This window comes from Homo sapiens, chromosome 7 (assembly GCF_000001405.40).
Source record: "Homo sapiens chromosome 7, GRCh38.p14 Primary Assembly".
NCBI classification, from domain to species: Eukaryota; Metazoa; Chordata; class Mammalia; order Primates; family Hominidae; genus Homo; species Homo sapiens.
In genome coordinates this window covers 131,043,623-131,058,468 of record NC_000007.14, presented here as the reverse complement: position 1 = coordinate 131,058,468, position 14,846 = coordinate 131,043,623, and the positions used below count along the sequence as shown (strand labels likewise).

The following is a 14,846-nucleotide window of genomic DNA, read 5'->3' as shown; positions in this document are numbered from 1 at the left end:
AAATTGAACCGAAAACATATCTGATTATTTTACTCAAACTAGTGAACAGGGTTTAAATAAAGAGGGTGGAGGCTGGGTGCGGTGGCTCATGTCTGTAATCCCAGCACTTTGGGAGGCCCAGGTGGGCGGATCACCTGAGGTCGGGGGTTTGAGACCAGCCTGACCAACATGGAGAAATCCTGTCTCCCCTAAAAATACAAAAAATTAACCAGGCATGGTGGCACATGCCTGTAATCCCAGCTACTCGGTAGGCTGAGGCAGGAGAATTGCTTGAACCTGGGAGGCAGAGGCTGTGGTGAGCTGAGATCGTGCCATCGCACTCCAGCCTAGGCAACAAGAGTGGAACTCTGTCTCAAAAAAAAAAAAAAAAAAAAAAGAGTGTGGAGGACTCTTTTTAACTTTGCTTATGAAGAGAGTTTTGTTTTTTTTTTTTGGGATGACAGTCTGATTCTGGGTATTCATGCCTTCTCATTGGAAAATCACCACTGTGCTTTCTTCTTTTTTTCCATTTTTTTCTTTCATAGTTAGAGATGGAGTCTCACTCTAACTGTAACTGCGGGAGGGTAGTGATGTAATCACAGCTCACAGTACCTCCAGCCTCAGCCTCCCGGTTAGCTAGGACTATAGGCACACATTACCACACCTAGCTAATTTTTTTTTTTTTTTTTTTTTTTTTTAAAGAAACAGGGTCTCACTCTGTTGCCCAGGCTGGTCTTGAACTCCTGGGCTCAAGCAGTCCTCCTGCCTCAGCCTCTCAAAGTGCTGGGATTACAAGCACTGAGCCAGTGTACCCAGCCTTTTTTCTATTTTGTTCTTGTCTTGTATATTTTACATTTTATAGCTTTTCATGTTTCTGAAACCACTTACCACATTTAGGCCAAAAGGCAAAATAATAAAAAATAAAACCAACCTCACCTAAAAAAAAGTTTAAGGATTAAGTATTTCCATATACCAGTGTTGAACAGATTTGAACAATATATTTGATTTTATGCTCTCCAGTTGCTAAAGTGAGGAAAAGAAACAGAATTATATTGTTTTCATGTGCTGACAGCCGGAAGCATGTAAACATCTGCAGAAACCAAACGTTTCCTGGAACTAAGCTTGAGCAGAAATCTATCACGTGGACCTTTGTTTAAAGAACCTTGTGAAAAACCACAGTTATGTAAAAGATCCAGGAGCGCAGTTCATGTGGATTAGATTCTCTAGGAGGCAGAGAGTCTAAGGAGATCAAAGAAAACAACGACTTGGGAAGTGCATGTGCTGAGCGCTGGAGCCAAACTAGCAGAAAGGAGTTTTAGAGGCACTGAATCCAGGCCTCTGGTTTTTGGGGACTGTAGTAAAGAAAGGAGTTGAGGCCTGGTGCAGTGGCTCATACCTTTGGTCCCATTACTTTGGGAGGCTGAGGCTGGAGGATGGTTTGAGGCTGGAAGTTCAAGACCAGCCTGGGCAACAAAGCAAGACCCCTTTTCTAAAAAAAAAAATTAAAAAAAAATGGATGTGATGGTGTGTGCCTGTAGTCCTAGCTACTCAGGAGGCTGAGGCAGTAGGGTCAGGAGGCAGAGGCCGGAGTTGAAGGCTGCAGTGAGCTATGCGGGTACCACTGCACTCCAGTCGGGTGACAGAGCAAGACCCTGACTAAACAAAAAATAACAACAAAAAAGGAGGCAGGGGTTTAGAAAATACCATGATTGTTAACAGGACCATCAGATTTCATTTTTTCTAAAATATTAGATATTGTCAGTGTGGTTTTTATATAGGTGCTGATTCTGTTCTGTTCGTCTTCAAGTAACAAATGCCTGCAGTGGAGATATCTTATTTTGATGATTAACAGGAAGCTTTTAAGCTTTGAAGAAAGCAAACAACATTTTCCATGGACCTTTAAGAGCTGGGCTAATATTTTTGCCCACACAGAACTCTAATTCATTTCAGAGTCAAGGGCAACAATAGAATACTTTTTCAAGGACCTTGCATTTGTTAATACAGGTTTTCATAATAGAAAGCAATTTAAATATTCAGAACTAACGTAACATGGAAGAAACAACTTTTTCCTGAAATATTTGAGAGACAAATATAACAAACAATTCATCTTTACTATGACAATCTCAACGGAAAGACTTCAGTGTGGTCATATTAATGCATTTTCTGTTCCCAGCAGGCAAGTAAGGCAAGGGAAGCATCAGCTCCCAGGCTATTGTAGTCATCCAGATGGAGATGAGGTAGGCTCAGATGGCAGTGGTGGGAGCAGGGAGAAGTAGTTAGAATTCAGATGTAGTTTTAAGATTGAGCCAACAGGGTTTGCTCATGAATTGGGCAGAGGATATGAGGGAAAGAGAAAACTCCATCTTGGAGGATGGAGTTACTGTTTCCTGAGATGAGCAAGCCTGTAGGAGCTTCAGGCGTGGAGCACTAGGGGAACATCAGGAGTTTGGCATGGCATGATGTTAAAAGGGGAATGTCTATTAGACATCCAAGCGGAGATGTCAAGGAGGTGGCTGAAAATATGAGCCTTGAGTTCAGGGAAGAGGTTCAGGCTCTTATTTAAGGTGCTGAGACCCATTGAGATGACCAGGAGGAGAGCGTATAGACAGGAAAGTTTGAGAATTGAGAGTCCTGGGTCGCTCTGGCATTAAAAGGTGGATAATGAGAAGAAGTTTAAGGAATGGCCAGTGAAGGAGGAGGAGAGTCAGTAGGTTGTGGTGTCCTGGCAACCCAGCAAAGAAAGTGCTTAAAGAGGAGAGTGATCAGCTCTGTCTGTGCCGCTGGCAGGTCCAGTAAGAGGAAGACTGAACAGTGAACATTAGATTGAGTGAAAATGGTTTCTGCTGCTTTTTTGCCCAAGTAGTCTTGAATGAATTCAGTTAACCTGTCTCTGGGGATAACAATGGTACTTACCTCATCAGGTGGTGGTGATGAACTGTTTATTTATTTAAAAAAAATTTTTTTTGAGACAGGGTGTAGCTCTGTCACCCAAGCTGGAGGGCATTGGCATGATCACAGCTCACTGCAACCTTGACCTCTTGGACTCAAGCAATCCTTCCGTCTCAGCCTCCTAAGTAGCTAGGACCATAGGCATGCACCACCACACCCAGCTAATTTTTTATTCTTTGTAGAGAAGGAGTCTTGCTATGTTACCCAGGTTAGTATCAAACTGTTGGACTCAAGCAATCCTCCTGCCTTGACCTCTCAAAGTGTTGGCATTACAGGTGTGAGCCACCATGGCCAGCCTATGAACTGTTTAAGTGGATGACCAGCCTAGGCAAGAAAGATGCCATCTCTAAAAAAAAAAAAAAAAAAAAAAGCAAAGAAAAAAAAAAAAAGCTGGATGTTGTGCCATGTGCTTGTGGTCTCAGCAACTCAGGAGGCTGAGGTGGGAGGATCACTTGAGCCCAGGAGTTTGAGGCTGCAGTGAGTTAGATTGCCCCACTACACTCCAGCCTGGATGGCAGAGTGAGACCCTGTCTAAAAATAAACAAATAATGCTCACTTTGGCAGCACATATGCTAAAATTGAAACGATACAGAGAGGAGTAGTGTGGCCCCTGGACAAGGATGACATGCATATTTGTGAAGCATTCCATCTTTTTAAAATTCAATTTTAAAAAATTTTAAAAAGAAATAAGTAAATGGATGAGATAATTCCTTTAAAGCACCTCTTCCTGTACCTGGCTTTTGGGTATTTCACAGTTGAAGACATTGCTGGCTTTAACAATAGCAGTTTTAGGGGAGCAGTGGGGACAAAGCCTGATGGGAATGGGAAGAAAGAACTGGAGACAGTGGATGGAGTCAGCTCTTTTGAGTATTCTTATAAAACTGGATTAGAGAAATGGGGAGTTAATTCGTGGGACCCTGGGGTCAAGAGGAAAGGCCAGTAGGCAAGAAGGCCTCCCTCCCTCCCTCCCTCCCTCCCTCCCTCCCTTCCTCCCTCCTCCCTCCCTCCTCCCTCCCTTCCTAAATCCACAGACCTTCTATGGTGATTGGAATCATCCTGTATAGAGGGAAAAGCTGATGATGTAGTTGGATTTAGGACCATAGATAACAATGGACCAAAATAACTAGATTGTCCTTGCCACCTGCCCCCGCTTCTCAGTCTTTTATTCATTCATTTAACAAATATTTATTGTAGGTTCACAAGGTGCCAAGGACGAAGCTCAGGTGCTGGGAACAGTGGTGGTTAAGGGACTAATCAAACAGGCATGAGCTCTACACCCTCATGAAGTTGTCACAGTCCGGTGGAGATAGGCTTTCTAAAAACACACAAATACAGATTTGGATGAGCACTTTGCAGGAAGAGTACAGAGTACTTTTGAGAGGAAGAGAGGGAGAGTAGCATGGTGTAACTTAGATGGGGGGCATACGAAGGTCTTTCAGATGTGAAAGATAACCATGGCTGAAAAGAAGAGCATCCCAGCAAAGGGAACAGACCTTGCAAAGGCCCTGGGGCAGGTGAGAGAGAAGCTGGTGCTTTTGGGGATTTGAGAGAAGGCCAGGGTGGCCTGAGAGGTGGGAAGGGAGCAAGTCATGCAGGGCTTTGGAAGCCTCCATATTAAAGCTTATGGGATATCGTATCTAAGAGCAATGGGAAACGCTGAAAACTGTTTTAGTTGGGAAGTGACATGGTGAGATTTGCATTGGAGAAAAAAATATGACCCATGATGAAGTATGTCCTGGTGAATGGATCAGAGGGGCAAAAGTGGGGAAAAAATCCCGCCAATTTAGGCAAAAAGATAATACCTATGAAAATACTTAGTCTAAAATATGTATAATTTTGGTATAGAAACAGAAGTGAGAATATCCTCTCTTTAGCAGAATTTGCTTTGCACTTAACCAGGCTTCTTACTTCCATAAAGACAGCATTTTCTTGTTAAAAATAATGTTAATTCAGAAGAATCAGCTGAAGGTGTCAGTGATTTCAGATTATTTAACATAAAATGAAAGTTTCAAAAAGATTGTGGCAACCTTGTGAAAATTAAAAATAATGAGACCTTATTAAATTTTTTTTTCTAGAAGAAAATACCAATGAATCAATATTAGGAGACAGAAGCTGTTAAGAAAACTCAGTACGGCCAGGTGCGGTGGCTCATGCCTATAATCCCAGCACTTTGGGAGGCTGAGGCTGGCAGATTGCTTGAGCTCAGGAATCTGAGACCAGCCTGGGCAACATGGTGAAACCCTGTCTCTACCAAAAATACAAAAAAATTAGCCAGGTGTGGTGGCGTGCACCTGTAGTCCCAGCTACTTAATGGGCTAAGGTGGAAGGATCACTTGAGCCTGGGAGGCAAAGGCTGCAGTGAGCTGAGATCTCGTCACTGCACTCCAGCCTGGGTGACAGAGCCAGACCCTGTCTCAAAAATAATAAATAAGGGCCAGGTGCGGTGGCTCACGCCTGTAATCCCAGCACTTTGGGAAGCCGAGGTGGGTGGATCACCTGAGGTCAGGAGTTTAAGACCAGCCTGGCCAACATGGCGAAACCCCGTCTCTACTAAAAATACAAAAATTAGCCTGGCGCAGTGGTGGGAGCCTGTAATCCCAGCTACTTGGGAGACTGAGGCAGGAGAATCACTTCAACGTGGGAGGCGAAGGTTGCAGTGAGCTGAGACTATCCTATTGCACTTCAGCCTGGGTGACAGTGCGAGACTCCATCTCAAAAAGAAAAAAAAAAGGGAGCAAGTTCTAGTACTGGGTGGATATTTTATTGCACCAATTTAGGCTTCTCCCCAGAGATTTCTTAAAACAGAAAGGCAGTTGTAATACCAAGTATTGCTGTATCAGGCCACCTGCTACTCCAAAGCCATGAATTAACTTGTTCTAAGCCCTCAAGGAAAGAAAAGAGGAAACAGAGGTTTATTCCCTATCAAGACAGTCCACTTGAGAAAGTTCTGTCTTGGTTGTAACTTCAGGTTTCTTTCTTACACAGGCATTTTATTAATGCTTTTACGAGTTAGAAGAGTTGGGATAATTTGCCATCTGGAGTTTCTCTGCCTTGCTGATCTGAGCTCAGACCTGCCAATTTACCAGAGATAATTGATAACACCCTGTAACAGCTGAGTAAGTAGATTCTTCTGTTTTACTGCTTTTAAAAAAAGTTTAAAGTTTTAAAATAGTATAAACTTTAATTGGGTTCTTTAAATTTTGTTGTTGAATAATGCAATTATTATGATATTTTGTGAATATTTGTAAATAATGGGATTCTGGAATAAATTAATCCCCGATGATAGAAAAGAGTTAATGAACACTTTCTCCATACATAACACTTTAGCATTCAAGAAACATAGGACTTAAATACATATATTAAAAATTTAGGCCAGGTGCAGTGGCTCACGCCTGTAATCCCAGCACTTTGGGAGGCTGAGGCGGGCAGATCACCTGAGGTCAGGAGTTTGAGACCAGCCTAGCCAACATGGTGAAATCCCATCTCGGCTAAAAATGCAAAAATTAGCCAGGCATGGTGGCAGGTGCCTGTAATCCCAGCTACTCTGGAGGCTGAGGCAGGAGAATCACTTGAACCTGGGAGGCAGAGGTTGCAGTGAGCTGAGACTGTGCCACTGCACTCCAGTCTGGGCGACAGAGAGGCTCTGTCTCAAAAAAAAAAAAAAAAAAAAAAAAAATTTAAAAGCATTCTCCTTAGTGCTTTATTTCATTTTTACATTATAAAATGTAAAAAATATTGGTAAAACAACTGTTAATACATTTTTAAAATGCAACTGTATGTAAAAATTATCTTTTAATGCAGGATGCATTTTGGTTAATTTGAAATAAATACTGGTTTAGTGGAAATAAAATTTTAATAGTTCTTTCTATTTGAAAATAATGATTTTTCCAATACTAATATAGATAAGATCACAGAATCTGTCTGGATTTAACTTTCTCAAACAGACTAGGGAAGAATGGCTTTCATTCTTTCTAATCAAAACACCTGAATGAAGTTTAAAGTGTTTTAAGTGTTGAGTCAGTTACATTGAAAACAAATGGTTTCTCAGAACAAGAGCTATTATTCCTCGTACTATATCCTTTGAAACTGTTTTGACAAAACTAGTAAACCATGAAGTTGTACCAGGGCCTTGTTTGGGAATCTTAAACTAAAAACAGTGAATAAATCTACAAGATATTCGCCACTGCAGTGGGATTATTTAATTTTGGTCCAAATCTGTGTTGTCCAATATGGTAGCAACTGGCCACATGCCACATGTAGCTATTAGATGTTTGAAATATGAGTAGTACTAACGGAAATGTGCTCTGCAGAAAATACCATAATTCAAAAAAAAATTTAAAAAGACTAAAATACTAGGTTTTATATGACTCACATTTTGAAGTGATAATATTTTGGATATATTGAATTAAAACATGTTATTAAAATTAATATCACTTGTTTTTGTTTACTTTTTTATGTGACTGCTGGAAAATTTAAAATTAGTTGTAGCTTGCATTATACTTCTTTTGGATGGAACTGATCTATATCATCACATACAATCAACATTCTTAGTTATCCAGTACCTAGCATTCTGTAGTTCTTGAACTTTCTGGTCCTCCTATGGATCAATTCATATACATTTGTATTGTTTTAAGAATTTGATTCTTTGATTCATCAAATATTTATTGACTGCCTACCATGTGTCAGACAGTATTGTAGGTATTGGTGATACAGTAGTGAACAAAACGAACTAAACTCTCTGCCTTCATGGAGGTAACATTCTAGCAGGAAGATACAGACTAAGAACAAATAAAAAAGTACAATATGTAGTATATTAGAAAGCAATGAGTGCTTTGGAGAAATGTAAGGCAGGCAAGAGTAAGGGCTGAAGAGTTGACTGGTAAAGAGAATGTTTAGGGAAGGCCTCAGTGAGAAGTTGTGAAGAAGTTGATGGAAAGAGCCTGTGGGTGTTTGGGGGAAGAGTGTTGTAGGCAGAGAGGATAGCAAATGCAAAGACCTTGAGGCAGAAGCATGCCTGGCTTGTTTGAAAATAGGAGGAGGCTAGTGAATGGAGTGGAGTGAGTGAAGGGGCTGTAATCCCAGCACTTTGGGAGGCCAAGGCCAGGTGGAGCACGAGGTCAGGAGATCAAGACCATCCTGGCGAACATGGTGAAATCCCGTATCTACTCTAAAATACAAAAAATTAGCCAGGTGTGGTGGTGGGTGCCTGTAGTCCCAGCTACTCAGGAGGCTGAGGCAGGGGAATCGCTTGAACCTGGGAGGCAGAGGTTGCTGTGAGCTGAGATCGTGCCACTGTGCTCTAGCCTGGCGACAGGGCAAGACTCTGTCTCCAAAAAAAAAAAAAAAAGAGGAGATGAGAGGATATGGATGGTCATGTCATGTTGTCAGAGGCATAAAAACCAGAGCAATCCCATCTTGAGTAGGGGCTGGGTAAAATAAGGCTGAGACCTACTAGGCTGCATTCCCAAAGAGTTAGGCATTCTAAGTCACCGGATGAGATAGGAGGTCAGCACAAGATACGAGTCCTAAAGACCTTGCTAATAAAAAAGTTTGTAGTAAAGAAGCCGGCCAAAACCCACCAAAACTAAGATGGCATTGAGAGTGACCTCCGATTGTCCTCATTGCTACACTCCCACCAGCACCATGACAGTTTACAAATGCCATGACAACGTCAGGTTAGTACCCCATATAGTCTAAAAAGGGGAGGCATAAATAATCCACCCCTTGTTTAGCATATAATCAAGAAATAACCATAAAAATGGGCAACTATAGAGTAGCCATTCTTTTATTCTTTTACTTTCTGAATGAACTTACTTTCACTTTATCGACTTGCCTCAGATTCTTTCTTGCATGAGATACAAGAGTCCTCCCTTGGGGTCTGGATCAGGACCCCTTTCCCATAACAGTGTGAGCAGTGGTTATTGTATGGGTTTTGGCTTCCAGTGAGATGAAAAAGAATTGGTGGATTTTAAGGAGAGAAGCAACATGATCTTTCTAATGAAGGTAATGTGATTTGAATACTCTGGGCTAGGGGTGGGGGTGTTTGCAAGGGTAGAAGCGGAGAGACCCAGTGAGGCTACTGCAGTGACCCAGCTGCAAGATGGTGCCTGAGACCATAAGCAAGGGATGTGAGGAGAAATGACGGAATTCTAGTTATATGTTGTGAAATTAGATATGAGATGAGAGACAGAAAGGAGTGTCAGGGAAGACTCCACAGTTTGCAGCCTGAACAACTGAGAGTGGAGGTGCCTTTGCTGAGATAGGGGGGTGGATTGTGGAGGGACCGATTGGAGGCAGCACTAGGAGCTCAGTTTTAAACACATTACATTTGAGATTCCTCTTTAGATATCTAAGCAGAAAGGTCATGTAGGCAGAGTCTGGACTTCAGTGGGAGGTCAGGATTAAAAAGGCAAATTTGAAGTCATTAGCATTGAACTGTTGTTCAAAGTCATAAGAAGGATTGAGGCCACCAAGGGAGTGAGAAGAGTGGTCTGGGGCCTCTCCTGGTCCCATGGAGTCAGCAGGGCAGATTGAGGAACAGACAGGAAGGTGTAAATCGTGATACTCTAGACACCAAGGGAAGCAGTAGTAACCCACCTTGTCAGATGCTGCTGATGGGTCAGGTAAGATGCCAGCTGAAAATTGATCAGAAGATTTAGCAGTGAGGAGGATGTTAGTGATCTTGGCGAGTGGTTTCAGTGAAATGGTAGAGACAAAAGCCAGAGTGGAGCAGATTCCAGGGAGAATTGGAGGAACTGGATTGAAGAGTGAGTACAGACAGACTCTCTTTTGAGTAACTTGTGAAGTCCAGAAGAGTCAAGGAAAGTTTTGGTTTTGGTTTTTTAAGATGAGAGAAATTACATGTTTCTCCCAATGCATGTGTTAGAGAGATTTCAAGTTATTTTTCTGAAATGGCCTACTAGATTTATGACATTTAAGACCACCACCTGTGTGTGTTAGGGGTGGAGGTGTAGTGCTTCCCTCCTAAGATGATTTCATAGAATTGTGTTGTGGAAGAGGCAGAGGGGTGGGAGGGATCGGGGGAGAGACAGAGAAAGAGAGAGAATGTAGAGATTGGCATTGTATGTTAAAGGTGGCTTTTGCAATTGTTATGAAATTTGGCTGCTTCTTGCTCAGTGTCTGCATTCACATTCCGGGAATTAAAAATGTTAAGGTAACAAATGTTAAGACTAGTTCTCGTCAACTGAAAATGTTGAAAAAGCTGATGTTTGGGGTGTAATTTCTTTTCCTTACTTTTGAGGAAGTTATTGAAACATTTGAAGAAATTGAGGCAGAGACACAATACCCAAGGTCACACAAAATGAAATATTGCCAGAATAAGTGGATTTTAGATCTGATTTCCTAGCTATGTGGAACACTTAATCCCTCTGTGTTCAGTTCCAGCAGGTATAAAATGAGGGTAATATTTGCTTTACCTGCCACAGGAGGTTTTTATGAGGATCAGATGAACTAGTAGGTGCAGGGGCTTAGTCAACTATAAAGCATTGTATTATATAAATATGAAGTAATGTTAAAACTAAATTATACTTGAGGATTTTGTGGTAGCATGTGAAATAACTGGAAAAAGTATAATGTAACAAAATCTGGGCTGAGAATATTTGTAATACATACTCATACTAATAGAACTGCAAGAATTTGCTTTTTGCCTGTGTCAGACTTTGTTAATGACACCACAGAATCGATTGTGTTTTGAGTTTTGTGGCCAAGTCACAGCTGAGGTCCAAGCAATCAACCAGTTTATCTTCTAGGAGTCTCAAAGTTACTGAACTGGCTATTTTGGTACTTTAATATAATGTTAGCTTGCTGGTACTATGTGGAAGAGCCACTCTCTTAATATAAAATATTCACGTTCTGATGATAAATTTTCTATCAAACTTTGAGAGCATTTCTATATTTGATACTTGGAGTTGAATTATAGTCATACTTCATTTTTGTATTATCGTCATACTTTATGCTGTGGAAAACTGAGGAATTAAAAATGAGTAGCCAAGATCATTTCCCTTAATGGTGATGTGAAGAGGATAGGTGATTCTCTTTCTGAATAAAACAAGCGTAAAACTGGATGAGATTGTCCAAAATGGTCGTTTCTGGGCACTGGAAACAAAAGGCAGATAATAGATTGAGAAGCGTTATTGATACACTGAATCTTTGGGTATGAAGGATAGGGGTTGTGGCCTTCTCGCATGGGGTTTCTTCTCTCCTTGCCCACTATCTCAGTTGTCGAACTGCTGTTTTATCAGACATGATAGACTCAATTTGAAGTGTGGGTAAAGGTTGGGGTTAAGAAATCACAGCTTTGCTAGCTAAAAGTGGCATAATCAGTTAATAATGAAAAACTCACAGCTTTGCTACTTTGAGTTTGAAGTTTGCTAGTTTGAGGCCACCATCCAGAAATTTAACAAGGAGATCCTAGAAATGAGAGACCTATAGAGGGCTAACATGGCTCCCCAACCATCTGTAGCAGACAGCTAAACTTTGCATGCCCAGGGGATACTCAGTAGAGCCCAGCAAAAAGTGAAAGCCAGAAGAGACTTGAGATCTGGGTACAACTTTGAATGCTACCTTCCATGCAGACTGTTCCATCTGCAGATGTTGGAAGCCTTACTGGTGCAAGGTGGCTGGGCTTAATCTCTGCCCAAATCCACTGGCTGACCACTAAACTAAGCAGCCACTCACTCATTAGGGAAATGCAAATTAAAGCCATAACAACAACCACCAGAATGGCTAAAATTAAAAAGACTGACAATCCAAGTGTTGACAAGGATATGCGGAAACCAGAATCCTCTCAAATTGCTGGTGGGAATATAAAACAGTATGGCCATGATGGAAAACAGTTTGGCAGTTTCTTAAAAAGTTCAATATACACTTAATGTGTAACTCAGCAATTCTATTTCCAAGGTATGCTGTCAGGAAAAATGACAGCATGTGTCCAGGCAAAGTTGGTATATGATGTTCATAGTGTCACCCAGCAAGCAATCAATGGGCCTGCTTCCCAAGGCACATGGAGGCCAATACCATGGCGCTGGCTTTTGAGGAAAAATAAGCTTTATCATGACTGGACTGGCAAGGAGCCAGGAAGAAGCACCCAAATCTGCCTCCTGGAGCTGGTAGTTGGGTAGAGTTTTATAAGCATAGGGTAATAGGGTGTGATCCAATTGGATCTTGTGATGAAGTGATGCTGGGGGGTGTTTTCTGACTGGCTCCTGACATGGGGCTATGCCAGAGCTCAATCTGGTTGGATTCTGGATCCTGTTATGCCATATCCACTTTTTTTTTTTTTTTTTTTTTTTTGAGATAGAGTCTCACTCTTGTCACCCAGGCTGGAGTGCAGTGGTGCAATCTCAGCTCACTGCAACCTCCGCCTCCTGGGTTCAAGTGATTCTCCTGCCTCAGCCTCCCAAGTAGCTGGGATTACAGGCGCCTACCACCATGCCCAGTATTTGTATTTTTAGTAAAGATGGGGTTTTGCCATGTTGGCCAGGCTGGTCTCAAACTCCTGACCTCAGGTGATCTGCCCGCCTCGGCCTCCCAGAGTTCTGGGATTACAGGCATGAGCCACCACACCCGGCTTCCACTTCTTAGTTCAGTCCCCTCTCCTTGGTTGGAACATTTAGGTTGCCCCTATAGTTGCATGCTTGGTTCATCTGGACATGCTCAGCTTACATGATGTTCAACCTGGGGGCCCATGGCAACTGAAAAACAACTCACAACTTTGTTACAGAAGAGATGAACCAGATTGGTCTGACGTGGTTAAAACAGCAGCTTTAGCTGTGATTGAAAACTGGAACTAATTTATGTGTCTGTCAGCAGATGAATGGATAAGCAAATTGTGGTATATCTATAGAATGGAATAATACTCAGTAATGAAAAGGAATGGACTATTGATACATACAGTGACATGTATGCATTGCAAAATAATAACATGCTGTGTGAAAGAAGCCAGACACCTTTTCCTACAAAACAGAATACTGATTCCATTTAGGTGAAATTCTAGAAAATGCAAGCTAATCTGTAGTGACAGTAGATCAGTGCCTGCAGATCAGAGGATGGCTTGGGAGAGGAGGGAGAAAGGGATTCCAAAGGAAAGAGCACAATGAAACGTTTGGGGGTGATGTATATATTCATTATTTGATTATGTCTAATGATTTCATGGGTGTATACATATGTCAAAACTCATTGTATATTTAAATATGTGCAATTTATTGTATATCAAGAGTAACTCAGTAAAGTTATAAAAACTAAAACTATGCCCATTCAAAAAGCAAACAGATGTTCATAGTACCATTATTCACAGTAGACAAAAACTGGAAACAATCCAAATCCATCAACCGGTGAATAGATAAACAAAATTTGGTATGTCCATATCAGCCATGAAAAGGAATAAAATTCTGATTCATGCCACGGGTACATACTACAATATGGTTGAACCTCAGAAACATTATGCCAAGTGAAAGGGCTCTGTATTGTATGATACCATGATATGAAACTTTTAGAACAGGCAAAACCTTAGATCAGATCAGTACTTTGCCTGGGTGTAGGGTGGCAGCATGGAGATTGGTTTTAAACAGGCACAGCGGAACAGTTTGGGTGATGGAAATGTTCCTGGTGATAGTTGTGTATAAATTGTATGAAAACGTGTGCAATTGTGTACTTAAAATGGATAATTTTCAAGACATGCAAATTATACCTCAAGAAAGCCACTAAACGTGGGTGGCCACTCAAAATTTCAAATTCTCTTTAAGATGACCATTCAGGTCAGGCATGGTGGCTCACTCCTGTAATCCCAGCACTTTGGGAGGCCAAGGCAGGCAGAGCACGAGGTCAGGAGATCGAGACCATCTTGGCTAACACGGTGAAACCCCATCTCTACTAAAAGTACAAAACGTTAGATGGGCGTGGTGGCGGGCACGGTGGTGGGCGCCTGTAGAGGCAGGAGAGAATGGCGTGAACCCGGGAGGCAGAGCTTGCAGTGAGCCAAGATCACGCCACTGCACTCTAGCCTGGGTGACAGAGCAAGACTCCAAAAAAAAAAAAAAAAAAATTTCCATTCAAGGAATTGAACTATAGTACTGACTTCATTGTAACATACTGCTTTGGAATACTTTGGTGAGGTTCACTGAATTCATGTTCTATGCCAAATGCTTTTTGGATTCTAATTGTAAGTTAGTTATTTGTAAATTAGTTACATTGTAAAATAATTTAAATTAAATCGTAAAAAGAGTTACTTGTTTTTCCCAGAATTTAGTGACCAGGAATAGCTGTATTTCCCTTGCATATCATTTGTCAAATGATTGGTTTTATGTTAAATAGTTATTAACACCCCCCTCCCCACTGGAAAACATGTTTTTTGGATTAATATTCAATTTGTGTAAAGTAGTTCAAATTTATGGTGGTGGGTTATCCTTCAATTTTTAATTTAATTTTTTTTTTTTTGAGACAAGTTTCACTCTTGTTGCCCAGGTAAAGTGCAATGGCGCGATCTCAGCTCACCGCAGCCTCCGCCTCCCGGGTTCAAGCGATTCTCCTGTCTCAGCCTGTGGAGTAGCTGGGATTACAGGCATGCGCCACCATGCCTGGCTAACTTTGTGTTTTTAGTAGAGACAGGGTTTCTCCATGTTGGTCGGGCTGGTCTCAAACTCCCGACCTCAGGTGATTTCCCCACCTTGGCCTCCCAAAGTGCTGGGATTACAGGCGTGAGCCACCATGCCCGGCCTATTTTATTTTTTGAGACAGAGTCTCGCTCTGTTGCCCAGGCTGGATGGAGTGAAGTGGCGTGATCTCAGCCCACTACAGCCTCCGCCTCCCGGGTTCAAGCAATTCTCCTGCCTCAGCCTCCCAAGTAGCTGGGACTACAGGCATGTACCACCATGCCTGGCTTTTTTTTTTTTTTTTTTTGG

The 14,846-nt window shown here is 41.7% G+C and overlaps 1 long non-coding RNA gene and 1 pseudogene across 10 annotated transcripts in view, besides 5 other annotated features; both read left to right on the top strand.

Moving 5' to 3' along the window:
* The window catches only part of LINC-PINT (long intergenic non-protein coding RNA, p53 induced transcript), a 232,364-nt gene that overhangs the window by 51,457 nt on the left and 166,061 nt on the right, over positions 1-14,846 (top strand). For 8 of the 10 annotated variants that reach the window (NR_170176.1, NR_170175.1, NR_109854.1 and 5 more), the window contains exon 3: positions 5,914-6,044. The exons of the other annotated variants lie outside the window; for them this stretch is intronic. This is a non-coding gene — a long non-coding RNA (long intergenic non-protein coding RNA, p53 induced transcript). The remainder of the gene's footprint in view (positions 1-5,913; positions 6,045-14,846) is intronic. 10 annotated transcript variants of the gene reach the window in all.
* Positions 1,005-1,299: an enhancer, noted in NCBI's record as "tiled region #6658; HepG2 Activating DNase unmatched - State 5:Enh". NCBI's record gives its function as "activates a minimal TATA promoter and a strong SV40 promoter by Sharpr-MPRA in HepG2 cells {active_cell/tissue: HepG2}" and the evidence as "EXISTENCE:reporter gene assay evidence [ECO:0000049][PMID:27701403]".
* Positions 1,090-1,234: an enhancer, noted in NCBI's record as "145 bp 7:130742066 sequence used in MPRA reporter constructs". NCBI's record gives its function as "activates a minimal TATA-containing promoter with rs7803075 allelic activity by MPRAs in UACC903 melanoma cells {active_cell/tissue: UACC903}" and the evidence as "EXISTENCE:reporter gene assay evidence [ECO:0000049][PMID:36423637]".
* Position 1,162: a transcriptional cis regulatory region, noted in NCBI's record as "rs7803075 or 7:130742066 MPRA-significant variant associated with a GWAS melanoma risk locus at 7q32.3". NCBI's record gives its function as "allelic transcriptional activity by MPRAs in UACC903 melanoma cells {active_cell/tissue: UACC903}" and the evidence as "EXISTENCE:reporter gene assay evidence [ECO:0000049][PMID:36423637]".
* RNU6-1010P (RNA, U6 small nuclear 1010, pseudogene) lies at positions 3,477-3,583 on the top strand (annotated as a pseudogene).
* Positions 13,691-13,835: an enhancer, noted in NCBI's record as "145 bp 7:130729465 sequence used in MPRA reporter constructs". NCBI's record gives its function as "activates a minimal TATA-containing promoter with rs62471613 allelic activity by MPRAs in UACC903 melanoma cells {active_cell/tissue: UACC903}" and the evidence as "EXISTENCE:reporter gene assay evidence [ECO:0000049][PMID:36423637]".
* Position 13,763: a transcriptional cis regulatory region, noted in NCBI's record as "rs62471613 or 7:130729465 MPRA-significant variant associated with a GWAS melanoma risk locus at 7q32.3". NCBI's record gives its function as "allelic transcriptional activity by MPRAs in UACC903 melanoma cells {active_cell/tissue: UACC903}" and the evidence as "EXISTENCE:reporter gene assay evidence [ECO:0000049][PMID:36423637]".